General features: G+C 42.4%; 1 protein-coding gene and 1 long non-coding RNA gene across 6 annotated transcripts in view, besides 1 other annotated feature; one reads left to right on the top strand and one right to left on the bottom strand.

Moving 5' to 3' along the window:
- Positions 1 to 26,578, top strand: part of GRIN2B (glutamate ionotropic receptor NMDA type subunit 2B) — a 444,798-nt gene that overhangs the window by 364,833 nt on the left and 53,387 nt on the right. For 2 of the 3 annotated variants that reach the window (NM_001413992.1, NM_000834.5), the window contains 5 exons: positions 645 to 847; positions 1,638 to 1,809; positions 2,035 to 2,188; positions 5,452 to 5,577; positions 8,470 to 8,699. In NM_001413992.1, the coding sequence (NP_001400921.1) occupies positions 645 to 847; positions 1,638 to 1,809; positions 2,035 to 2,188; positions 5,452 to 5,577; positions 8,470 to 8,699 (885 nt within the window). Of the gene's footprint in view, positions 1 to 644; positions 848 to 1,637; positions 1,810 to 2,034; positions 2,189 to 5,451; positions 5,578 to 8,469; positions 8,700 to 26,578 lie in introns of those variants that run through there. The other variant, XM_005253351.3, reaches the window with a different exon arrangement.
- LOC105369668 (uncharacterized) overlaps positions 1 to 26,578 on the bottom strand; it is a 38,041-nt gene that overhangs the window by 2,770 nt on the left and 8,693 nt on the right. The window contains exons 2-4 of one of the 3 annotated variants that reach the window (XR_001749013.2): positions 8,545 to 8,684; positions 6,702 to 6,843; positions 2,076 to 2,204 (exon numbers count right to left, since the gene is read on the bottom strand). This is a non-coding gene — a long non-coding RNA (uncharacterized LOC105369668). The remainder of the gene's footprint in view (positions 1 to 2,075; positions 2,205 to 6,701; positions 6,844 to 8,544; positions 8,685 to 26,578) is intronic. The other 2 variants (XR_931373.3, XR_931372.3) reach the window with 2 other exon arrangements.
- Positions 21,187 to 21,945: an enhancer, noted in NCBI's record as "OCT4-NANOG-H3K4me1 hESC enhancer chr12:13748291-13749049 (GRCh37/hg19 assembly coordinates)". NCBI's record gives its function as "activates a minimal SCP1, AML or CMV promoter by ChIP-STARR-seq in primed H9 embryonic stem cells {active_cell/tissue: H9 hESC(primed)}" and the evidence as "EXISTENCE:reporter gene assay evidence [ECO:0000049][PMID:30033119]".

Raw genomic sequence — 26,578 nt, 5'->3', positions numbered from 1 at the left:
TCTGCATTGACCCATGTTCATCCCCAGCCTAACTGTGCTCCCTTCCCAAACAGTGTTAGTATTCTTTAATCCCAATTTGTAATTTTATTCCAATTTAGATCCACCTAGCTCTCCCCACTGGATCTCTTCTACAGCCAAAACACATCATTTTGGCTCATTTGCTCCCATTGTTCTGTTGACATTTCCAAAGCTATCTGCTGCTCTCACCATCATGCTCCTTGTTACAGTTAAATAGAAAAAACTGGCAGCCACACATAATGCGGGAACTCCAGCATCCTCACTTACTACACAGCGCTGCAAGATATTTGTTTACATATCTGACTCCACTCACTGTGAGCTTCATGAAGGATAGAATGATGCTTCTTTGAGCCATGGGTCTTAACAGGGTGCCAGCACATAGTAGGTCCTCATTTAATGTTTGGTAAGTGAGTGATAAATGAATGTATTGCCTTTCTTACATTTGGACACAGTAGTCTCATTTGGGGCACATGATTTAAAAAGTATTCCTATCTCTAGTATGTACAATGTTGGCACTTGTTGGCTTTTGTTCAACTGCTTCCTGGGATTGTTCAGACAATACTGGGACAGGCTGTTTGTTATGTTGTGGCCAGTGGTTTCTGATTCTTGTGTTCATCCTTGTGCAGGTGGGGAAGTGGAAAGACAAGTCCCTGCAGATGAAGTACTATGTGTGGCCCCGAATGTGTCCAGAGACTGAAGAGCAGGAGGATGACCATCTGAGCATTGTGACCCTGGAGGAGGCACCATTTGTCATTGTGGAAAGTGTGGACCCTCTGAGTGGAACCTGCATGAGGAACACAGTCCCCTGCCAAAAACGCATAGTCACTGAGTATGGCATCCTCTCAATGACTTTGGGTGGCATGGGAGAGTCAGCTTTGATGCACCTGTTAGCACTTGGCTGGCCTGAGACCTGAGGCATGAGAATTGGGCACTGTGTCTGATTTCTAGTTGCTTTTGAGCTGTGGGATTACTGGCAGCCCTCTGGTCTGATGTCTCGTTCTGTCCAGCTGGTGACCTGGGAAAATGATGGCCAACTTCCCACGCTAAAGTTTCTTCGGTCTTGCTTGGCCTTAATGATTAGGACCTCAAGTTTATGGAGATTTAAGTTTACTTCTGGTGTTCAAATATGTTTTCTTGGGCCAGCATGTCCCAGAATCTTGAGATTTAGAACCATTTTTTGAAAAATATAAAACTAATCTATGCTTTTAAAAGTCAGGATAATGGTTCTCCTTGGTGTGAAGTGCCTAGAGTGGGAAACAAGAGGCCTCTCTGGTACTGGTAACTTTTCTGTATCTGGATCCGGGTGCTGATTAATAAGAGTTCAGTCTGAAAAGTCATTGAACTGAAGCCTTCAAATATGCACCCTTTTCTTATGTATTTTGTACTTCAAAGGAGAATTAAAATTAAGAGGAAACATATCTCAATATGACGAGATAATGAGAATATTGCAGGTCTGTTGCCTGCTTTATTTCTTCACTCGAGTCTAGTATAAATTGTGCTGAGCTGTGAAGGGGGCCTGCTTTGGGATTGGAGGTTTTTTAATGGCAAAGGGTAATAAATGTTGGCTTTTTGTACAAAGACTTTTTTGTTTGTTTGTTTTTGTTTCTTTAATTGGCTAGGAATAAAACAGACGAGGAGCCGGGTTACATCAAAAAATGCTGCAAGGGGTTCTGTATTGACATCCTTAAGAAAATTTCTAAATCTGTGAAGTTCACCTATGACCTTTACCTGGTTACCAATGGCAAGCATGGGAAGAAAATCAATGGAACCTGGAATGGTATGATTGGAGAGGTGAGTGTCCACAAGGGCTGTTTCCATTTCCATTTTCATTTATTTTCCTTCTTCTAAATATAAGTTTAAAACGTGCTCACTTTATGCATTTCAGAAAATATAAAATGGCAAATAAGATGTATTGTTCCCACTATACAAAGAAAACCACTGATAGGCTGTATTTTCCTTGTGGTGGTCCCTTGCCCTCCTGAATGTTTTAATTGGAGCATCGCGCCTTTCTTTTAGGTGGTCATGAAGAGGGCCTACATGGCAGTGGGCTCACTCACCATCAATGAGGAACGATCGGAGGTGGTCGACTTCTCTGTGCCCTTCATAGAGACAGGCATCAGTGTCATGGTGTCACGCAGCAATGGGACTGTCTCACCTTCTGCCTTCTTAGGTAAATGATGGGTTTGCTGGTGGAAGGAAATGGACGTATGGATGGGGAAGTGAAATAAGGAAAAAAGGAGCACATGGCCAGGCTGTTCCAGCTAGAAGGTGGTTTGCTAGGAGCTCAACTCAGCCAGGGACTTCACTTAGGGGACTTCAAAATCAATTACTCTCAAACATGAAAGCTGATGAACACCCAGAAAAATAGGAAAGCATAATGCCATCTAAGAAAGTAGTACTGGGCTGGTCCTCAGAGGGCTTACTGTAGTCCCATTCCTGCCATTTAGTCAGCATGTGACCTTGAGCAAATTTGCTGTATCTGGGGACTTGGTTTCCTCATCCATAGGAGAAGTCATTTCAACCAGGCTGATCTCTGAGACTGCTTCTTGCCATAATAATTTCTAATTCTGGATATCATTGAAATATCTATTTATTTTTAATTATCTGCAAGAATTGCGCTCAGAGCTACCAAAAAAGATTTTTTGTTTCCACGCAAATTTTCTGAGGCTTTGCCAGATAGAGCTGATCTGATTCTTCCTCCCACCCCACTGCACCCCTCCCCATACCATTCTCTCCAGCATCACTTAAATGTCAAAAATCTCAGACGTGATATAAGACTGGGTGAGATGAGGCCAAGATTTCAATTAGATGAGGTCTTTTGTGAGCTCATACCCCATATTTTTTGCAGGGGCCATGGAATGAGGGGTTGGAAAATAAAACGTCACCTTGAAAACAGAACACTGGGCTAGCAGAAAGGAGACTGGGTTTGGCATAAACAAGCTGTAAGCCCCTGGACGAGTCACCGTCTCTCTAAGGCACATCAACATTTTTTAAATGGGGCTATTACAGTAGACAGTGACTAACATTTCTTTAAGCTCTAACCATAGGGAATTAATTCAATTAATGCATTGCAAAGTGGAGTTATAGGCTCCATAGAATTTTTCTATAAATTACTCAAATTTCTTAGCTAATCTTCTTACTCAGAGTGAAGCAAATTCCAGCCTTGCCAATTTTATGTGAAATGTGATTAGATAGTACACACTGTATCCAGTAATTCTCATAGCTTCTATACATATTTTATTTGCTTTTTTTTTTTTTTTTTTTTTTGCTGTGCAAGGATAGTTGGAACATTAAGAGATATAAACAAAACCACATTCTAATTCTAACCTTGTCAGTATAGCACTACCTTAACTTCTGAACTGGCAGAGCCAGTGGTACATTAATATATCCCTGGAATAGCATAGAAATGTCAGGCAGGGTGTGTTTACGTCTGTATTCAGAGGAGGAGCAGTTAGTTATAGGGATAAGAGAAGCCAACATTTATTGAGCACCTACTATATAATGTGCCAGGCATCATTGTACATCCTTTGGTTATATTAACTCATAAAATGTTATTATACCCATTTTATAGCTTAGGAAACTGAATCTTAGACCTATTAAGCCATTTTCCAGCCGTCTCTTAGCTGATAACTGGCAGCTCTAGGATTAAAATCCAGCTATGGTAGCCTTCAGAACCTGTGTTCTAGTACAAATAAGGCCGTTTCAGAGTTCAGCCCCTAACCCAGGAACCAGCATGGGGGGACAAAGAGCAATGTAATACAATGAAAAAACACAGACTTTTTGGCTCAGTTTGTAAGCTGACCCTGACACTTTCTGAGTATGAATTGGAAAGAACCTTGACCTCTCAGTCCTAGTTTACTCCTCCATAAAATAGATAAGGTAATCCCTAATGAAAGGGCCATTAGAAGGATTATATATATAGTATGTGGTAAAAGTAGTTTCTAAATTGTAAAGACCAAAACAGACGATGTATTTTGTGTATAGAAAGTTTCCCTGGGCCTAATGGGAGGAAAAGACCACAGAGGTGGTGCTTTTACTCAGTTATTCCCCAATCTTAGACAAAAGGGAAATCAGGGTAGAATTGCAATCAATTAGAGTCAAGTGTGCAGAGGTTTTCTCCACACCTCTGGAGAGAGCCTTTGAATTGTACCTCTTACGCTCGCATCTCTAGCTGCCATTGAAAGGTTTTGCATTTCACAGTTGGTGTGTTAAGCACTGGGGCTTTATCAAGATCTTTTAAAAATTGATTAAGTGACCAGGCTTTTACAATTCCTTTGGGAGTTCAATAACAAAGTAGGTTTCAGAGTAAGAAATATATTTTCTAATTTTCAGCCAATTTTTCCCCTTTTTAAACTTCATCTTTATTAATGATTTGGAAGATGGAGAAAACAGCATGTTAATTCACTTAGTTATGAGTTTACAATGTGCTGTGACAGCTAAAAAGGCCAGAACTATTTTGAGACACAATTGAGGGAGCATTGTATCATGGGACAGAATAGTGATTGTCCCTTTTTATAGGCCTTTACAGAGATGGCTTCTGGAATATAGTATCTAGTTTCTGGACACCTCCAAGCCAGAGAGATATTTAGCTCAATTGGAAAGGATTCAGCACACATGATTAAAGATATTAAAGAAAGCATATGTGGAACATTCTTGCTACCTTGCCCAGTCTTGTCCCATCAACCCTATCACTTCATAATGGGGGATAGATTGTAGTTGGTTTGTGAATTACAGCTTAGACATGTTCCCTTGTCACTTGTTAAATTCCCACTGTTGCAGATAATAATATTTAACGTGGAAGGATACTTTAACATTGACTTATATTCTCATACCCTAATGATGTCTGATAACATACAATACATCAAAGTAGGTTGAAAAAGTGAATCTAGGCTAGGAAGTTTAAGAGAAATGATACAAGGGGAAAAGGGGGCTGGTTATTTATTGTACATAATTATTCCTGAACAAATTCAACTCTAAAATAGTAGGTAGGTCTGTTGAGAAAGACTGTATCTGCAAGGTTCAGAAGCATTGGAGAAGGCATTTCCAGGCCTCCATTACATGGTGTGGCCATATAGATGAGAACATAAATTGAGTCAGTCCAATACAACTCACTCACTTCATAGCTAGTGCTTCTTCCAATTGCACCATTTACTGAAATACCCAGATATTGGTCCAATAATGGCAGAAGCTGCCTCTACAACCTAAGAGGCTCACGGGCATGAAGCTGTCCTTCTCATGTATTTGAAGGAAGGCAATCCTTGACCTTTAAGGAAATGGTTCAGTACAATCTAACCTAGGCCCTGGCTTCCTGAAGGCAGACAACACATTGTGGTTTGTTCCCCACCCCCTAAAATATGAAATGAATATGTGAATTAATTCGAATTCTTTTGCTCTCTGTTCTAACCCTGAGCACTGCTTTTTTCCCTTCCTCAGAGCCATTCAGCGCTGACGTATGGGTGATGATGTTTGTGATGCTGCTCATCGTCTCAGCCGTGGCTGTCTTTGTCTTTGAGTACTTCAGCCCTGTGGGTTATAACAGGTGCCTCGCTGATGGCAGAGGTAAGGCCGGCTGGAACCGCTGCACTTCCCCAGTTTTTTTCTCCTTATTTTCAAATCTCTGGACTCCTCATTTGTTATCTGCATTTTCCCTAGCATATCCATTTCTGAAAAGGAACCCTCAGGTGAACATTTCTAAGTCACCAGCTTGGCGTCTCTTTAGAAATACCCCAGTTAAGATGTTAGTTTGAATCTATAGGTCTGCTTTATGCCTGGCCCCAAGCCTAGTTTCACTCCCAAGTAAAGGAGAGGAAAAACTATTGGTAGATATGGGTATAGCATAAACATGTCACAGGAAACTATTTTGATAACCTTAGGCTGTGGGCAGTCTGTTGGAACAGATGTCGCTAACAAGGCAGATTGTACACACATGTTAAGAACAAGAAGAAATGGATTGCCCCAGGATATATGCAGGTGGTTGTGGCTGGTTGAGTTCCCCAGTGCCAAAGGATCACAACTGAGGTACCAGATCTCCAAAGCATATGCCCCTGGTTCAACCCCCTTGCCCGAGAGTATAAAAGTTGGGTGTTGGAAATAAAATGAATGGGAAAGACCAATTCTCACTCATAGCTATTATTGGGTATGGTCCAATTTCCTGGGTAGGTAGACCTAGAGATGTGAGGGCTGCCCATGTGTTTGAGGCATTTATGACAGTTTTTAAAAGTTCACATGATTTCTAAAGGGGACCATGGGATCCTTGTAAATAACTCCTCTAAAACTTCCTGAGAACCCCAGGATTAAGAAATATTCTGCCTTCTCTGAGTCTTCTCCATTCCAGAATGTGAGCTCTATCCTAGAATTAAACCTCCAAGAGGGAAGATTCTTAAACCTGGCTACACATAAGAATGATCTATGGGGCATCTAAAAGACACAGGTGCTTGGACCTCATTTTCTGATTCACTAAGTCTAGGTTGGGGCTTAGACCACTGTATGTTTCAAAATAGTGTTTCTCTACGTTGGTTGCATGTTAAAATAACCAGCCCCACCCTACACCAATTTAATAAGAATCTCTGAGTATAGGGTTTCAGGCAGCAGTATTTTATAAAATCTTCCTCATGCTTCTGTTGGATTCACAGTCTAAGCTGTGAAACAACACTTTACTGAAGTATTTCCAAGTGCAGACCTACCTTTTAATTTGGTTTGTGTATTCTGAGGTGGGAGTTGGGGTGTCTCCATGGCATGGTACAATCAGGGGCCTTCCACCTGTGCTTCATCCAGAAGCCATGACCTATATCCCAGCCTGTGTGGCACCAGTGAGAAGTGGAACATCTGGGAATCACATGAGTATATACTTAGGTTGGCAATGTCAAGAGCTAAAGTCAGTGTGCATTGCCTCTCTCCCTTGAAAAAATAACAGGAGCCGAAAATCCAGATTTGCAAAGAAAGCTCAGAGCGAGGGCTTACAATTACTCACTTTACCAAAGGATGTTTGTCTTCACAGAGGAATTCAACATGGGGCCACTTTAAATATCAAGTCTCCTTAGAGCATTTTACAATTTATAAAGCTTTGATTTATAAACAACGTTTTAGTTACACATCTGTTGCATGAAATAAGGTCCACACGCACAGATGTGTGTGCACAGTTACATATCAGGTTCAACATGAGTTGTCCCTGATGATTTATTTGGCTGAGCAGATGCTATCAGGATCACAGATTACATCATAAGACCTGTGCAAATATGTTGTAAAACTGTGCAGGCAGATGTTCATTTCTGCAGTGGAGGGGCTACATGGAGATTCAGACAACAGGCAAGATTTTACCATCAGCAAATAGAGATTGCAGTGAGGTCACAATACATACATGGGCAGAAGCCCAAGCACTGTCTATGCAAAGGTTAGGTGGGGGGAAATCAAAGTCAAAAGCAGCTTCCTTTCTCCCCTTAGATGCAGGTAGCCAGGCCAGGATTCTATGACTTCCCCTTTGGCCTTCCTGATATTCTTTTTTTTTTTTTTTTGAGACAGAGTCTTGCTCTGTTGCCCAGGCTGGAGTGCAGTGGCGCGATCTCAGCTCACTGCAAGCTCCGCCTCCCGGGTTCACACCATTCTCCTGCCTCAGGCTCCCGAATAGCTGGGACTACAGGCGCCCGCCACCACGCCCAGCTAATTTTTTGTCTTTTTAGTAGAGACGGGGTTTCACCGTGTTAGCCAGGATGGTCTCGATCTCCTGACCTCGTGATCCGCCCACCTCGGCCTCCCAAAGTGCTGGGATTACAGGCGTGAGCCACCATGCCTGGCCTCTGATATTCTTTTACACGCAAGCTTCTATGACAGGAAACCAGTTGGGAAGTGTTGGCATCGGAGTAGGATCAGGGTTGTCTTTGAAACATTGAGTGCTAAGTGCTAGAAGCTAAAGAAAAATCAGGAAAAAGTGCATTCTAAGCCATCTAGCATCAGTATAAACAGACTTGGAGAGGGTTTATGAATGGCAGAAAACAATCTTACCCAGTTCTTGCTGATGTTTTTGGAAGTTAAAATGCATTCTTGGTAGATACAAATATAAAATTTAGGAAAAAATGACAGACATGACCCAAGTGTGACCATAGTGACATAGTTGGCCTGTTTTACTCAGTTTTGATGTAATCTTGAGAGGGTCTTGTATATGGGGGCAGGTTGATGGCTCCTCCAGAGGGGAGTCATGACTGTTAGTTCAAGAAAGACCATCCTACACACACTCCGGGCTTCTGGTTTTTCTCCTAAGGAACCCTCTGCAGCCCTCCTGAGAGTCCCTGGAAAAGAGAGATACACACTCTCAAATTTAAAAGCCGTCTATAAAAGGGCTTGGTTTTAGCGGAAGGGTTTCCTGCTCTGAGCAGGGACTCACCCTGTGTATTTGTAGGTTTCAACAGAACCAGCCACAATGGCTTAACTTTCGTCCTTGTCTTTTTGTCATGCCAGAGCCTGGTGGACCCTCTTTCACCATCGGCAAAGCTATTTGGTTGCTCTGGGGTCTGGTGTTTAACAACTCCGTACCTGTGCAGAACCCAAAGGGGACCACCTCCAAGATCATGGTGTCAGTGTGGGCCTTCTTTGCTGTCATCTTCCTGGCCAGCTACACTGCCAACTTAGCTGCCTTCATGATCCAAGAGGAATATGTGGACCAGGTTTCTGGCCTGAGCGACAAAAAGGTAAGAGACTCATTTGAAATCTCCCGTCTTTCCCTCAATCCTGTTCTCAGCCATACTCAAAGTTCTCATGTACCTGCTTGTCTTCTAAATTTTTGGAATTGACCGTTCTTTCTTATGTTTTCTTGTATTGGAACATGGGAGTAGAAGTCAGTTTCCCTACTGAAATAATATGACTTCATGTTGGCCTCCTGATTCGTGAAAAGTTATCACTAGTACACCCTAGGCTGAAAATAAGGGGCTTGGTATGTTAGCGGCTTTCTGAGTGCATGGTACCTCTTGTTGGATGTGGTTGGGTGGCCTATCTGCACAGGGCTGCCCATGTGGGGTGTTATTAGAGGACCGCCGCCGTGTACCCACACCGAGGAGATGGGCGCATGATGGCCTCCTTTTCTTCCCAGTGGTGTTTGGCTGTGGGCTCTCCCTTGGTTCCGGTGCACACTCGTGTTTCTGGGGCTGAGCAGGAAGAAGCATTGTGTCTTGAAGAGAAGTAACTGCTGTTTAACTGGATGATTTGGATGATTGCCCCTGTGTGGTGCTGATGAATGGGCTGCCCCCTTACTAATTGCAGGCCTCTGCGGGCCTATGCAATTGAGAGAGAAGGGAAAGTGTCTGCTGTTTTCCATCACTGCTGGATGAGGATGTACAAAACCCATTCTAAATACATCTGACCCTCCAGTCTGCCTGAAGCATCACATTTTCCATGGGAGATCTGTCTCCTGAAACTATGTAACCAGGACTAGGGATGGGAGACACTTTCATGGAGTGTCCCATAAAGCTTATGGCCAAAATAATTTTGGAGACTTGCGCTTACAACAAATTTTCTACTCTATTTCCTTAAGATTTAGAAAATGTGATATTTTTCCACTCCCACCCCCACCCCCCCAGGATGAAGCCATGAGCTGCAGATAGGTGTGTCTTCAGACCAAATAGTACTTTGCACATGGGTTAGATTTGCCCAACCTAAAACCCTACACACTTAAGCAAATGGTCTGAGAAGAATGAAAAGGAGGAGATATTCTCTTCAGGGGCTCAGATTCTCATTTTTCCTTCTACATCTCTACTTATCAAGAACATTCAAAAGCATGTGGAGAAGATAAATAGTATCTTGAGAAAAGATACTATATATATTTATTATATATATTTTATATATTTATTATATATAATATATATTATATATAATATATATTATATATTTTATATATTATATATAATATATATTATATATATAATATATAATATATATTATATATTTTATATATTATATATAATATATATTATATATTTTATATTATATATAATATATATTTTTATATAATATATATTATATATTTTATATATTATATATAATATATATTTTTTATATAATATATATTATATATTTTATATATATTTTATATATTATATATATTTTTTATATATTTATTATATATATTTTTTATATATATATATATTTTTTTTGAGTGCATGGTACCTCCTGTTAGATGTGGTTGGGTGGCCTAAATGCACAGGGCTGCCAGTGTGGGGTGTTACTAGAGGGCCGCTGCTGTGTACCCACACTGAGGAGATGGGCACATCATGGCCCATGGAAAATATATACTCCACTGTGTTTACCCCTTTGTGTTATCTGTTTCTCTGATTTGTCTTCCTTTTTGCTTTATTCTTCTTCCTTATTTAAAAAAAAATTCTCTCTCTTGTATTTTTTTCTCTCTTATTTGGAAGCTTTTATTTACTTCTCTCATCTCATGATTTATGATACATTTATTTATATATCATCCATGTATTAACCCATTTTTAAACCCCTCTCTTATTGTTCCTTCATCAACATCTTTCATCACGACCCTAACTAAAATCTGAGTTGCACACCTCCTTTTCCCCCCATTTGCAGCCGCTACCACAATCGCCTTTTGGTGACTGTTTCTGTAACCTGGACAGTAATAGGGTGAAGAACAACCTCAGAGCTCAATACTTGGTTGTGGCTTAGGGTAAGGTGGACCACGCCCACCTCCTATTGTTTGGATGTCTGATCCCTTTAAATCTCATGTTGAAATTTGATCCCCAGTGTTGAAGGTGGGGCCTAATGGCCAGTGTTTGGGTCACGGGGGTGGATCTCTCATGAACAGATTAGTGGCTCCCTTGGGAGGGGTGGGACTGAGTGAGTTTTTGCTTTTTTAGTTCCCATGAGAATTCCCCCAACAGCTGATTGTTAAAAAGAGTCTGGCACCTCCCCTCTCTCTTGCTTCCTCTCTTGCCATACGATCTCCGCACATGCTGGCTCCCCTGCCCCTTCCACCATGAGTGGAAGCAGCCTGAGGATGTCACCATATGCCCAAACTTCAACTTTTCCAGACATCAGAATTGTGAGCCAACTGAATCTTTCTTTTTCTTTATAAATTACCTAGTCTCAGGTATTCCTCTATAGCAACATAAAATGCACTAACGCACCACCCTAAAACATGGATGTTGCAGAAACTTGATGGGCCATGCCCCATGTGTAGACTTGTCAGAGGTATGGCAGACCATGTCTTCACATGAGGCTGTGGCAGAGAGGTAGTAGACTATGTACCACACAGAGTATAGCAGGGCCATGTCACCATGCATGACATGGCAGGGGTGTAGTGTATCATGTCCTATGCATGGTTATAGCACTGTATGGTGAGATCATGTCACCGTGCATCAATATGGCAGAGATGAGGTGGGTCACAGACCTTCTTGGCTGTTAAGTGGAGGATCTGCATGGGTATCAAAATGCTTCCTTCAAATGTCTCAAAAATTACTTGGCATACTGCACTTATCTTTCTCTTACCCTCATGGGCCACGCAGTAACAACTGAATGTTTTTCTGTTTGAACTAAGCATAACTGAGATGGAGGAAGATAGTTTTCTTTTCCATGATTTTGAAATAAGTACCATTTCTAGGCTTCTTAAAGCGGACAGGATATGCACATGTCTGTCCTCCATACCGTGTTCATTATGTTCTAAAAGTTGGATCCCATCAGTTTGTTTTATAGAATGAAGACAGGTGTGTGTGTGTGTGTGTGTGTGTGTGTGTGTCAGAGAGAGAGAGAGAGAGAGAGAGAGAGAGACTTTCAAGACCTTTGCAAATAATTTCCACTGTGACCCCAGCTCTGCAGTCTCATTGGCCAATGCTTGGGTTCCTGCATCTGATATCCTGGGTATCCACAACTGTTCATCTTTTTCAACCATACCTCTATCTATGCATCTGCCCGGGAGGCTTTTTTCCCCACTTTTTCACTCATCAAACTCCTACTGAAACTTCAAAACCTAGATTAGAGATCCCTTTATTTGTGGAGCTTTCCCTAGCTCATCTGGGAAATTAGTCATTTCCCTAGCTCATCTGGGAAATTAGTGCTCTATTATGGCAACTATTCAAATCTTTATTATAACACGTATCTTCCGCATTCTATTACAATAATCTATAGGCCAATACCTGACCACCTATTCCTCTGTCTGACCCTGAACTCCACAAAGTCAATGACCATAAGTTGTTCATCATTAAGACAAAAAAAAAAAAGAGTCTGTGGGGAGAGAGGAAGAGAGGTTGTATTTACTTAAGAGCCCCTGGCAAAAACAACGGACCCAGAATCACAGGCAAAGAAAGCAACAAGTCAGCAAGTGCCCCTTAACAGCTGTTTACTTTGTAAATGGTTTTCTGATACATTTCAGAACTTTGCAGATGACAAAACAGTAAAGTGTAAGCACCCTACCAGAATCTGTCAACATGATTTACATAATTATAAAAAACATTTAAGTAACTAATGACTGCATATCAGTGTCATGGACAGTTATATAAATCAGAAAGAGAGTTTCCTGAAAATATACTTAAAATGTTAAAATTCTTATAGTCTTACTTACTTACAGTCTAACACCTAAAGAAAACAAATTATTGGGACAGGGTATGGTAATGCATGAGAGGAAGTATATTCTGTGAATTTAGAAAAAGAATAAAGACATTCAAACAATAATGTTGAGAAAAGAAATGAGATGATTTTGAAGATTATTTTCCAATGTGATTAGATTTTCATCAAGGAAGTAACATTTAAAATGGAGAAGGGTTCCTAAACTTGTTTTGACTATTACAGATGATGTATCTTCCATATAACTCACATCAAGTGATAAATATCTTGGAGCGATGATGGAAAGATATTTGTAGCCATTCGATTTATAGCTTTTTAAAAAGTTATCTTCAGCTTTATTGCAGAAAAAAATGTACTCAGATTTCATTTGTGTTAAGGTAGAAAACGAGAGTTAAATTTCCATGAAAACCTATTTTTGTACTCCTTTATACTGGAAGGCTTCCATTTTGCGGTAGCACATTACAGTGAATTCAGAATTATTCCACTACATGCTGTACCTAAATATGGGTGCAAGTTCGAACATTCAGCAACCCGACTGTACGTTCCATCAGCTCCCCCAGTGGGAGGAGGGTGTAAGGGAGCTAGTGACATCTTTCTTCTCTTAACAAAGAGCCCACAATGCATTCTCATATTTCTCACCCATCCAGATGGATTTCTCATTTTGCAGTCTGCCAACCATAGTATGAAGGAAAAAGAGCTTGGCCAGTGAGGGAGGGGGACATATTTGCTGGGCACTAGGTACATTTTGTATGCTCTGTGTATGCTATTTGGATAGTCTTCACACAGGTATGATTATTCTCATTTTACAAATAGGAACACCGAGACTCTGGAAAACTAGTAACTTCCCCAAAGTTATACATTATCAAGTGACAGAGCCAAAATTTGAGTCCCTGTGTATTTGGCTCCAAAATCACTCTGCCAGGGTGCTTCTCCTGTAGCTAATCTCAGGGAAAGCTGTGACATAGATAAGGACTGGAATTGACACCCCTGCCCCCACTTTCCTATTTAATTCCCTATCCTTTAATGTAATGCCTTGATTCCACTTAACAGGGCACATTAACACCACCACTACTATTACTACTACTAATAATGATTATCATTGTTATTATTATTAATAATAATATAACTTCAGCGATAACTTCCCAGGTAAGATTTTTTTCAGCTCTTACAAGCCAGGCATCATGCCAAATATATTTCATAGATTATCTTATATAATGGTGCTATTAATATCTTTATTTGTAGATGAGGCAACTGAAGCTTGGTGAGGTTAAATAATTTGCCCTTATGGTGTTCCTGGCTCACTATAGCCCCTGAACAGTGTGCCACCCTGTTTAGACCCTGATGCTATTTGATGCTCTTTCCAGTTATTCACTTTTCTTCCTACATTCCTATCTACCTTATCAATCAAAGCCTAACAAGTTAGATCCTTTCCCCCTACTAACATGTAGCTATCTAATTAATTGAGCCATAATAATTAGATAGATAGTATTGTAACATTTGCACTTTATTTAATAAGCCTTTTAGAGACATTATTTTAAATAGAGAAGAATGGTGATTTCCAGTACTTGGGCAGGCTAATGGCCCTCAAATTGACTTTAGCCTGTGTATAGAGTGACCCTTAGCTTTAAGCTACTGTTGGATGGTGGAGAATGGTGGCACCAGGAGTGAGAAGGGACAGTTAGGGGGTCAGTGGGGTCTGGGGTCAGATTGGAGGAAGCCCACAGGGAGGTGGAGGCTGCTAAAGTCACAGAAGTTTGCTGTTTGACCATTGGGCTCTCCAGGGTATCTGGCTGCAAACGATTTCACACGTTCCTACCACCATTGTGACACATGCCTGAAATATATTTTGCAGCTCTTCTCCTCAAGGAAGTAGAGGAGTTTGATTAACTTTCAAATGTCAAAAATGTGCTCATCTGCTTAATGAGGGTAGCTATCTTTGCCTGCAACACTGGAGGTACAATCAGGATGGCCACGTAACACCTAAATGAATAATGAGTCTTCTGGGTTTCCAAGAAGTCCCATGGGGGTCTGGAAGTCACTTCATATTCTTTTGGGATATAGGAAGGGCATGACTTTTAAATCAATATGCAGGCAAGTAAATAAATATGCGTTCTGGAACAAATCAGCCTGGTGATAAGCAAATTTACTCCACAACTACCCTGAAATGTTGAGTGGTTGTTGAGCATGTGTGAGGAAATGGGGCCATGCTTTCCACTGCACAAATTTATTTTCCTGCCCTATTAACTTTAGGCTGGAAGCCAGCAGGAGACAGCCAACCTCCAGCCCGATCTGTCACACCCTTTTCCTGGCCCAGAACATCTCGCTCAGACCATGGAATACTGGGCTAAAAATAACTTAATTGAGAAAGTAGCAGTCATGACCAACTAGCCAGGGAGCTAGTAATGAGGGCCTGGGTTGGACCTCTAGGTAGCTGAGCAAAATGTAAGGGTATGATTCATGCATGGGAGTCCTCTTGGCCTGTCAGGCAACTATTCTTCTTGGAGCTACTGATCAAGAGCAGATCTGAAAAATGTAAAACTCCCCAAATCCTGGGAGTGTCTGAGGTACAGAATGCACATGAGAGGGGGGAGGACACTTGCCTTTTGTTCTCTTAATTGGCAGAGCCAGTCTGGCCCTTTCCATGGACTGCTGTCCCAAGCGCTGAGCCTCCTTCATTCCTGCCAGGGTGACCTCCATCCAAATGGGTCCAGAACAGATCCCTGGGGCTTGGCTAGCCCCAGGTCTGTCCATCAGGGTTGGCTACCCCCACTTCTTATCTGGCATTATTTAAGAATGGGTCTGCTATATGCCCCAACAGGTATCCCCCAAGTCCTAATTCCTGAATCCATCTTTACTGAGACAAGAGATCCTTAACTTCAGTTCAACATCCTGTGGCTTAGTAGTGGGTCACCCTCCAAGTCCTGAGGGGCAGATGACCCGGAGTTGATGACTGGGTTCCTAGCAAGGCTTCACAGTTGCCTTTTACTCCTTCCCCTTTTGTGGTCCCCTTCCCCTTGAACGACCCTCTTTCCCTTGAACGACCACCTGCTTCTTGCCTTCCTATGACTTCTAACACTGTATTCCTCACCTCTAAGCTCTACTACCTTGTTGGGGCCTGAAGTGGGTTGAATTGTATCCTCCCAAAGATATAGCCACATCCTAACCCCTAGAACCTACAAACATTGACCTTGTTTAGAAAAAAAAAAAAAATCTTTGCAAATGTAATTAAGTTAAAGATCTCAAAATGAGATCATCCTGGACTATCCAGGTAGACACTAAATCCAAAGACAATTGTTCTTATAAGAAAAAGGCAGACACAGATTTGACACAGAAGGGGAGAAAACACACAGATGAGAAGACCATATGAAGATGGAAGCAGACACAGGAGTGATGCAGCCACAGGAAGACATGGAGCCACCAGAAGCCGAAAGAGGCAAGATATGGATTCTCCCCTAGAACCTTTGGAAGAAGCACTGCCCAGCTAACACCTTGTTTTGGAACTTCTGGCCTTCAGAACTATGTGAGAATAAGCTTCTGTTCGTGGCTATTTTTTATGGCTGCCACAGGGACCTAATACAAGGCCTTCACAACTTCTTCTGTAATCTGCACTTTGAGCTCATTGCATCCTTTAGACTTCAGTGCTTCTCCTCTTTGTCCCGATTTGCATTGTCAGTCTCCCAGCCCCATCCTTTCAAAGTGAGTATTTCTTGCAGTGGGATCAGATTCAGTTCCCCTCTCCTTTGCCTGGAAGAATGGATCCAGTTTGCACTGAAGCTTTGCAGAGACATGCTTTATAGGCAGTCTTCTCCTTGCTGGTTAATTTTAGGGAGACAATACAAAACCTGAGTGTCATTGTGTGCTCCCTTTTGCTGTGTCCTTGAGCCGGATTAATGTTAGTTTCTCACAATACGTACTACACTGCTTATGTGCACACTTCCCCACTACCTTCTACGAGGCCTTTTAGTAGTGATGTCCTTATCGAAGGGAATTGAGGACATGTTTCTGTGAGATGTATCATTTTCACAATTCCTTTGTGCAGAAAAACACTAATGCACTCTTCTCATATTCTAGACTGTGCCATGTTGTTTAAATCAGAGAACTGGAAGATACTTTATTTGATCATCAGGCACAGGGAACTCTTTTCTCATCAAAAGCAAACAGGTGTCCTCTCTCTTCTTGTAGCCTTATCCTCCTTGTTACACAGAAATGTACACACACACACACACACATGCACACACACATCCCTACCCTCCAAGACTACATAAAGGTACCAAGATAACTGGATAAATAGTAACTTAGCACTCACAAAGCTGCACAAGGAACACAGGTTTCCCATGTGCGTAGAAGACTTACTAAATAGATATCAGAAAGTTTGTCTTTCTTACCTGGGTAAAGAATTTGGCTTTGTCTCATTCTGCTGATATTAGTAGACTCATCTTTTTGTGAAACACAAAAATGAAATGAAGGAAGGAGAAGGAAGGAGACAGATGGAGAGAGTATGAGGGGAAAGAGGAAGGAAGGAAGGGAGGGAGGGAGGTAATCAGAAGCCAACGCTGTCCTGGATCTGCTCTGTATTACCCTTCTTAGAAAGGTATCCCTATGCAAGATATTAGAGGACCAGAGGCTTCCTGGAACTACGACTTTTTAATGCAACTATGCAAACTAGCATGAGTCTGAATTCACAGTTTTGTCACCTGCATTGAATTGAACTAGGCCCAAAATTAAAGCCAAAAATAGGCAACAAACAATTTTAATTAACAAAAATCAAAGTACACAGCATGGGATGTTGTCCTTTCAGATTTGGAATGTTCTGGATGTGGGAGAGGCTAGTGAGCACTTCTTTTAACTGTTGGAATCATTGAATTTGTCTATAGCTTCCCTATGTGGCCTCTCCCAGTCAGACTGACTCTCCCAGGTGGGGAGGAGCAGGTGGCTCTGAGGATTCCCACCAAATTTCAAATCTATTTACAGCCTAGTCTCTGTTTCTATAAGAGAGCTATTCTATTTAGCTAACTGTTGAAGGCAGTTGCTTTGTTCGAAAGTTTAGTTACATAAAATAGGAGAGTTCCCCAACATTCTTTTCTGATTAATAACAAAAAAATTATCAATGTTTTAGTACGGGGAGGGCTAATCTTTTATAAGTTCACTAAATTGTGGGTTGTGGGTTGAGAATTTATTAAGAATTAATGTTTCACTTCTGAACAACTAAGTTCGAGTCCTTTGAGACAAATTAATGCAGCATGGAAATTTATATGTGGCCAAAAGCATCAAGCCTAGAATGAGTCAGGTTTTAAAGATGTCAGAATTATATTCACAATGAAATTGTGGCCAGGGCTGCTCTGGGCTTTTGTGTTTCAGCCTTGTTGCCTCCAGCTGTAATGGTGGCAAGAGTGGAAAAGGTGTGCAGCCTGCTATATTTTTGGAACCTTTCGGCCTAGCTGGGCATATGCTAGGGCTGATGGGGGCCTGAGACTCCCTGAGGCTAGGGAAGCCCAACCATTTAGTTTACGATTCCACATCGAGATTTCCTGTCCAGCATGGGTCACAGAGAGCCATTTAAAGACCAAGTGGCTGACACTCTGAAAACACTATAGTCTCGGATGTTTCCTCTCCTATTTTACTCCAGTGCCACTCAGGTGATGGCTTTGATCGAGAGCATCAGGAGCATTGGCTTCAGGCCAACATGATCCTGAGAATGGCCAGAGTGGAGAGAAGAAAACGAGCAGGCAAGCCGACTCCCTCAGCACGGAGCAGCTTGGATTGTCAGCCATCACTCCAGGAGGAAGTCAGGAGGAGGAGGCTCAAGACCTCGGGTCCTCACTTTAAAAAGCACATGGCTAGTCAGTACCAGAAGTTGTTTCTGTTTGGGAGTGCACAGGAAGGAGTAGCTGCCAGGGAAGTGGTGGGGTAGAACAGTTCATTGATATCAAAATTATCTGGAGAACCCTTTCAAACCAAGTAGGACTCTCTCCAACCAGCTGGAAATAAAAGTACAGGTGCCAAAAGCTCCCACCTGTGTGGCACTACTCTGCCAAGGAGGTAGCCAGGAAATCAAAAGTAAGAAAAGGATTGTGAGAGAAAACTACTTTGGGGTGGTGGAGGGGGTGGGGTAGCTGTTGGAAGGCTGTGGAATTCTTTTTTCTGTACTTTTTAACCTACTGAAGCTGCTTTGAGGGTGTCATCTAGAGAGCTTGGTATCCACCCCCTGCAGTTAGAATGGAGAAGGGCTGGCATTTGACCCATACCTGAGAAGACTGAAGGTGACAGGTCTTGGTGAGAACTGGTCCCTGGCTGGTGGGCCATACTCCCCACAATGGCCAGATAGATCTGTTTCTCAAGACCAGATGAGGCCATATGGGAAGGAGGGAGTCAGTCTGGGCCTGAGGTCGAGGGAGGTGTTTTTCAAGGCTCCCTGCCCAAAGGCCTTTCTTCCCAAGATAAGGCAACTGCAACAGATAGAGTCAGGAGGGGTGCTGTCCAGTGGAAAAGCTGGAGGGACTGATGTGAGTGACCAGCTGCACTGAGGTTGGTCCAATGTTCTTCCTGAGAGCATCTCTGGGGAGCCCAGAACTTGCCTGGCAAGGAGGACATCTGCCATGCCTAGGGAGTGGCAATGCCAGACCACTGCGGTGCCAGCCAAGGAAGTGCTTTCCTGCCTCTGCATCTCCTCTTTTCCCTGACACCACTGCCTTCCACCCCACCCTAGAGTGGGAGGAGAACAACTAGAATGAATGCAGGATCTGTAAGAGCTGGCATCACGTTGAGTTTTATTTCTTGGCTAGATGATAGCCACTGGGATTCCTGGGGCCAAACCTGCCTATTTCTCTCTGCCCTTATTATTGAACTATGTAATGAACATATATTATGTGCCAAGCCTACTATTAAACTCTTCACATATGGTTCTACTGTTACCGATGGAGGGTCTTGACCAGAAGTTGTCCAGGTCCTTGGTATTTTGAACAAAGAACTGAACAAAGCACACAAAGTAACCGAGTAATGAAACACAGGAACCAAGCAGCAAAAGCAGGAATTTATGAAAGCGAGAAAGCACTCTGCCTGGTGGGAGTGGGCCCAAGCAAGTGGCTCAAGGGCCTGGTTACAAAGTTTTCTGGGTTTTAAGCACCCCATTTGAGGTTCCTATTGGCTACCCCTTGTCTGGATGAAGGATTTGGTCTGTGGCTAACTAAAGACTGAGGTGAATTGGTGCCCTATGCAGATAAAGGGATGGTCCCCGCTTGGCCCAGGGCCAATCCAAGGCACTCTCCCTTTTCCATCTGAGACTTGGTGGAAGGAGGAGGTTGGTAGGGAGAATAGCCTTTGATCCTTTGCTACTGGGAATGGGAGATGGGGTTTTTCCTTTCGGTTTAGCTTCAGGAAGTTTGCGTTAATTGGCTTTAGGTTCCCTGCCCCCAGGCCCAGGTTTTTTCTTTTTGATCCAGCTTTGGGAAGTCAGTGCAAATTGGCCTTAGATTCCGTGCCTCCAGACCTTGATGTTTTTCCTTGATTCAGCCTTAAGTTCCCTTCCTCCAGACCCTATTCTCCTGCCTCACTACTTTTAATCTTTATGTCCACCCTTTGAGATCACCATTATTAACATCGTTTTACAGATGAGGAGAGTCATCTAAGGATTAAGCAAATTCACCTAAGTCACACAACTAGAAAGTGAGGGTTCCAGGATTTGATCCAGAGAGCTGACCCCACAGCCTGCATCTGCCCCTGTGATACTGCCTACCAGAGCCCTGTGTCTTCTTTGTGTGGACACAGGAAAGTAGGGCATGCTTCTAGAGGCATTGGCCTGAGGCAACAGAATCTAATAAAGCCTCTGTCCTGGGGACCTTCTCTGGCCTGGCTTCTTGGATTCTCAAAGGAGTGATAATGGGACTCCAGCCAGAGACCACTCATTATCCAGCTGTGAGTGCACAGGAACCTTGAAGAGACCTTGTTCATTCTAACCAACAGTATTTCCAGCGAAGTTTGTTTTCTTCATTTGTGCACATACAGCCCCTTGCACATTTAAGAACCACTTATATAATGAGAGTTGACTGGATGAATGAATCAAAAAGACATCGAATATTATTGGGTGTCATGTTTTCTCTCTGCTAGGCAGTAACCAGTGTGTTTACTTAATCCAGCTACAAAGGAAAAGATCCCACTCTCAGCAACCTTCCCTTTATGGGAAAAGTAGAAAAGGCAGAGAGGGAAGAAATGGAGTGGAGGGAAGGACACCCTACTTCACCCCTCCATCCTCATCTCAGAAGGGAAATAGAGCAAGAGCAGTGTTTAGTTTCTGAAGTACTTGTGACAAGAAGACCATGAGTAGCTTAAGGCTATAAACCACCTTGGTATTAATTTCCTAAATGCTTAATTCTGTGAAACTCCTCTACACATCTCCCAGCTTATCACTAGCACCACAGTTTTCTGAGTAAAGTATTAGCCAGCTGTGTTTCTTGCAAGAACTGATTGCCAACAGACCCTGAGGCAGCTGGGACTCCACCTTTTTTGGACTGGGTACAAAAGAGATGTTGAGCTGGGTGTTATCCTGGTACTGAAGAAAGAATACTGTGATTTCTAATGATGTCTGTGAGTGGCCTCAAATACAAATTGAACAAGATGGCTAACAGCATTGTGTCATGAAGGACTCTGCAGCTGAGGACCTCTGGGGTTCAGGAACCTCTGGGAAGTGAGCCTTTTTTTTTTTTCTTACAGAAAAAAAATGCACTTGAACACACAAGGTTATTAACTCACATGCCTTTACATGACACACCCACCCATCCCTGCAAACACACCAGCACATACACCACATAGGGTACAGATGTGGTTTTGACTTGGAGCACTGAGCAATTTTCTGCTTTTCTTTTTATCCTTTTAAAAGCACACCAAATTAATTGTGGCCAACTACCTATAAATCCCTTTCTCTCTGCCAATCAGGGCTGCCTGAACAGGCAAGAGGCGCTCTCACCTGCCTCGTTATGCAAATTGTATTCAAGTGCTGAAGAACAATGCAGCCTTCAGCACTGCAATGATTCCAGGTTGCTAATGAGGAGAGGCTGCTGCTAGAGGAATTGTTTTAACCCTCTGATGCTGAGGCAAGAAGGCTGAGAAGGCATCAAGTGGAGATGGAGGCAGAGTCAAAGTCAATGCCAGTTCTCAGCACCAGACAGGGTGCTCCCAGAGCACCATTACCTGGTGCAACTTGGCCCCTGATATAGAAGGTCACCCCCGGGTCTGACATAATTTGGGATAATTTGGAGTCCAAACAGTATGGGCAGAATAGCTTGATTTCTTAAATATCCCTGTGGTCTGACAACCATAAGTACATTTTTCAGGTTATGGTGGACATCTGCAAGCACAGGGTCTGGCATGGTCACAAATGTATCGATCCTCAGAATACCTGTAGTCAAGGGCAGGCAGGATCCACCAGGCAAAGGGCATGAGAACGATCAACACACACACACAGGAAGAAATCAATGGACACTAAGACCTCACATCATGAGATTAGTTTGAAAAAGACCTGTACCATTCAGCCATTCATTCATTCAGGACCTGCTCTATGTGGAGCAAGAATTATTTCATTCTCCAGTAATCACAGTTGTCAGGACTTATTTCTCTCTTGACTGCTTCACCCTGTTACCTTGCCCCAACATTTCAGAATCTCCTCTTGGAATTTCAATCTCACCTCTCAAACCCAGGTAATCAAAAAGGGGCTTTTAACACAATTATGTAATTGTCATGCTGGGACTCTGTGTGAGCCAGACAGTTTATGCAGTAGTAAGGGGCATTTCCGCTAGGCAGCTGTGGTAGCATTGCCTTGGAATGGGGCAAAAAGGAATTTGGTATTGGGAAGCACAGCAGTTCTCCAGCTCCTTTTGAAGAAAGTCTTTATAATGCAACTTCAACTCTCAGTTGGAAATGCCCTGAAATCACACGTTATCCAATACACCCATGCTCCAAGATGAGTTTCCCCAGGTTACAGATGGCCTAGACAAGCAGCCACTCCACTTCTGCCCTTCCACTTGGCACTACTGGCACCTCCATGTGAGCGGCTTTTTTTTTTTTTAATACTTTAAGTTCTAGGGTACATGTGCAGAATGTGCGGGTTTGTTACATAGATATACACATGCCATGGTGGTTTGCTGCACCCATCAACCTGTCATCTACATTAGGTATTTCTCCTAATGCTATCCTTCCCCTAGCCCCCCACCCCCTTACAGGCCCCAGTGTGTGATGTTCCCCTCCCTGTGTCCGTGTGTTCTCATTGCTCAACTCCCACTTATGAATGAGAACATGTGATATTTGGTTTTCTGTGCTTGTGTTAGTTTGCTGCGAATGATGGTTTCCAGCTTCTTCCATGTCCCTGCAAAGGACATGAACTGATCCTTTTTTATGGCTGCATAGTATTCCATGGTATATATGTGCCACATGTTCTTAATCCAGTCTATCATTGATGGGCATTTGGGTCAGTTCCAAGTCTTTGCTATTGTGAACAGTGCCACAATAAACATAGGTGTGCATGTGTCTTTATAGTAGAAAGATTTATAATCCTTTGGGTATATACCCAGTAATGGGATTGCTGGGTCAAATGGTATTTCTAGTTCTAGATCCTTGAGGAATTGCCACACTGTCTTCCACAGTGGTTGAACTAATTTACACTCCCACCAACAGTGTAAAAGCCTTCCTATTTCTCCACATCCTCTCCAGCATCTGTTGTTTCCTGACTTTTTAATAATCACCATTCTAACTGGCATGAGATGGTATCTCATTGTGGTTTTGATTTGCATTTCTCTAATGACCAGTGATGATGAGCTTTTTTTCATAAGTTTGTTGGCTGCATAAATGTCTTCTTTTAATAAGTGTCTGTTCATATCCTTCACCCACTTTTTGATGGTGTTGTTTGTTTTCTTGTAAATTTAAGTGCTTTGTAGATTCTGGATATTAGGCCTTTGTCAGATGGACAGATTGCCAAAATTTTCCCCATTCTGTAGGTTGCCAGTTCACTCTGATGATAGTTTATTTTGCTGTGCAGAAGCTCTTTAGTTTAATCAGATCCCATTTGTCAATTTTGGCTTTTGGTGTTTTAGTCATGAAGTCTTTGCCCATGCCTATGTTCTGAGTGGTATTGCCTAGGTTTTCTTCTAGGGTTTTTATGGTTTTTGGTCTTACATTTAAGTCATTAAGCCATCTTGAGTTAATTTTTATATAAGGTGTAAGGAAGGGATCCAGTTTCAGCTTTCTGCATATGGCTAGCCACTTTTCCCAACACCATTTATTAAATAGGGAATCCTTTCCCCATTGCTTGATTTTTGTCAGGTTTGTCAAATATCAGATGGTTGTAGATGTGTGGTGTTATTTCTGAGGCCTCTGTTCTGTTCCATTGGTCTATATATCTGTTTTGGTACCAGTACCATGCTGTTTTTGTTACTGTAGGCTTGTAGTATAGTTTGAAGTCAGGTAGCATGATGCCTCCAGCTTTGTTCTTTTTGCTTAGGATTGTTTTGGCTATGTGGGCTCTTTTGGTTCCACATGAAATTTAAAGTAGTTTTTTCCAATTCTGTGAAGAAAGTCAATGGTAGCTTGATCGGGATAGCACTGAATGTATAAATTACTTTGGACAGAATGGCCGTTCTGATGATATTGATTCTTCCTATCCACATTATCCTTACAGCATCTGAAAAATTAGTGGTTCAGTAAAGAAGGAGGAATGACTTAAAATAGTTCCCAAGGCAATCTGTAAACTGGGCCTTCATGACCCATGTAAAGTGGCCTTCATGACCACTACATTTTTTTAGCATGCTTTTATGTATTTAAACTTCCAGTTTAACCCTTTATATAAACAACAAAAACAATTTTGGGGAAGTTGAATGCTTGTTTAATCACACATCAGTAAGACATTGTTTTCAAATTATCTTCCTTTTAACACCTAGATGTCATCACTTAGACCGAAAGAACAGGGCTTTTGATTTTGTGGATGTGAAAATAGGGGGTGTCAGGCTTGGATGCCCCAAAAGGAGGTTAGGAAAGCACCAGAGCTCAGCAAGTGGAGTACAGGTATAGATAAATGAAGTATGGGGGCCAGCTCTGAACCCAAGCAAATGCAATTCATTTTCCTTTCCTCCAATACTTCATTACCCATTTCTGGCCTTTGTCACCCCCATGTCATGGGTGCAACTGGCTAGGGCTACATCACAGGTGGTAAAAGAATTTACCAAGACAGTTGTGGGTAAAGAAAGGCAGATTTATTAGAGAAACTAAGAAAGGTGCATTGCAAGAGTGCAACAGGCAGTACAGCAGAGAGAAGCCTGTCTGCCAAGATGCAGGGGATGGAGGGGAGTTTTATAGGGTCATGCTGGAAAGGCTACTGCAGATAGGTTCATGCTGCTGGGGCTGTTTGGAAGGAGGTATTTGGGAACAGGATGTTTGTGGTTAGCCATTTCTTACAACAATAGCTTGTTAGCCACTTCTTAGAACAATGGCTCTCTTCTACCCTCATTCCTGTTCCTGCCAGCGAGGGCCTCTTTCTTGTTTCTATCAACTTATCAAGACTCCACACCCCAGACACCCACCCCTGTCCTCCTACAATGGCCCAAACACACCCGTCACCCTCCACTAGAATCATTGAGCAAGTGCTCATTTCCTTCACTGAATCATAAGCTCCTTGAGGCAAGAGACATGCTTTCAATAATTATGTCTTTCCAGCTCCTGAGACAGTACCTGGTACATTGTAGAAGTTTATTAAATGAGTAAATGTTCCAAGAACATAAGCTAATAATATTAACACAAAAGTTCTGCTCTCTTTTGGATTAAATTGGCTTTAATGAGCCAACCACTTATAGTATTGTTTCTTGGGGGCAGCATATTTCTGTTTGTGAGCAGCTGATTTATAAATGAACTATTGAGGACAATGTGTTCATAGGTTGGAGTCTGCCTATTGAAAATTGCAGTCCAAAGCCAAAAATATATTAACCTTTGTATTATGTGTTCTTTTGCAATATTAGCAACCATGGCCCTCATTCATGGTAATCACATGAAACCACATCAATAGTTACAGTCTCAGAGAGCATACCTGTCATTAGTGACTGCTGGGTGGCATTCTCCAGGCTAGATGCTTTACATTCTTTGACTCATTTGCCATCTCCCACTTTTAGGTAGATGCTACCTCTACTGTGCAGTAGAGAAAACTAAGACAAGAAGCTATGTGATCTGGCTAGGTTCCTAAACCCTTCTCATGCCTCAGTTTCCTAATGTGTAGAATGGGGATTAAAATGTTACCTACTTTATAGCTGCTGTGCTGATGAAAGAGTTACTCTTTGTAAAGCTTAGAAGAGTGCCTCAAGCATGCTAAATCCTCAATAAATATTAGTGGTCACGTCCTACATCCACCCAGGGTTCGCTCCTAAACCCAGCTCACAAAGCCCACGCTGTTTCTAGCAGATGATTAACATGTGCCCTGAAAGCCACAAACTGCTACAAATACACCCAAGAGCCCACCACTCAGCCCTCCTTCCACCCTGCTTGCCCCAGGCACTCACTTGTTTCAGTGAGATTTTGAGGTGGGAGTAGGAGGGCTGGTGGAGGGAAGGTCAAACGTCAGGGCTAAAAAAGATGTGGAAGGGGCAGCAGGCGAGTTGCAGTGCTTAGACCCCTTGAAACTAGCTCTGGCTCCGAGGATGCCTGGATGAAGAGCATCTTCATGGCCCTCTCAGACAAGAGGTGCCTAGTACCTCTTTGCAGCCAACCTTGTGGGTCTTTTGAAAGCATGCTCCCAGCATCCTCCTAGGCACATAGTAAGGGCTCAGTGAGCATTTCTGAATCTGTGTCTTTTGCCCATCTCTGTGGTAGAAAACAATGACTTCAAGAGTGAGCTTCAACTATGATTCCACCTGACTACTGGGCTCTACCCCAAGGAAATGGTTTCTCACAGGAGTGGGCAAATTATAAAACTGGTCTTTCCCCAGCAATTCCATTGCCGGGTATATGCCCAAAGGATTATAAATCATTCTACTATAAA

The sequence above is a fragment of the Homo sapiens genome, chromosome 12 (genome assembly GCF_000001405.40).
Source record: "Homo sapiens chromosome 12, GRCh38.p14 Primary Assembly".
Lineage (NCBI taxonomy): Eukaryota > Metazoa > Chordata > Mammalia > Primates > Hominidae > Homo > Homo sapiens.
The sequence above is the reverse complement of the archived record's forward strand: the minus strand, read 5'-3'. Positions and strand labels throughout refer to the sequence as shown.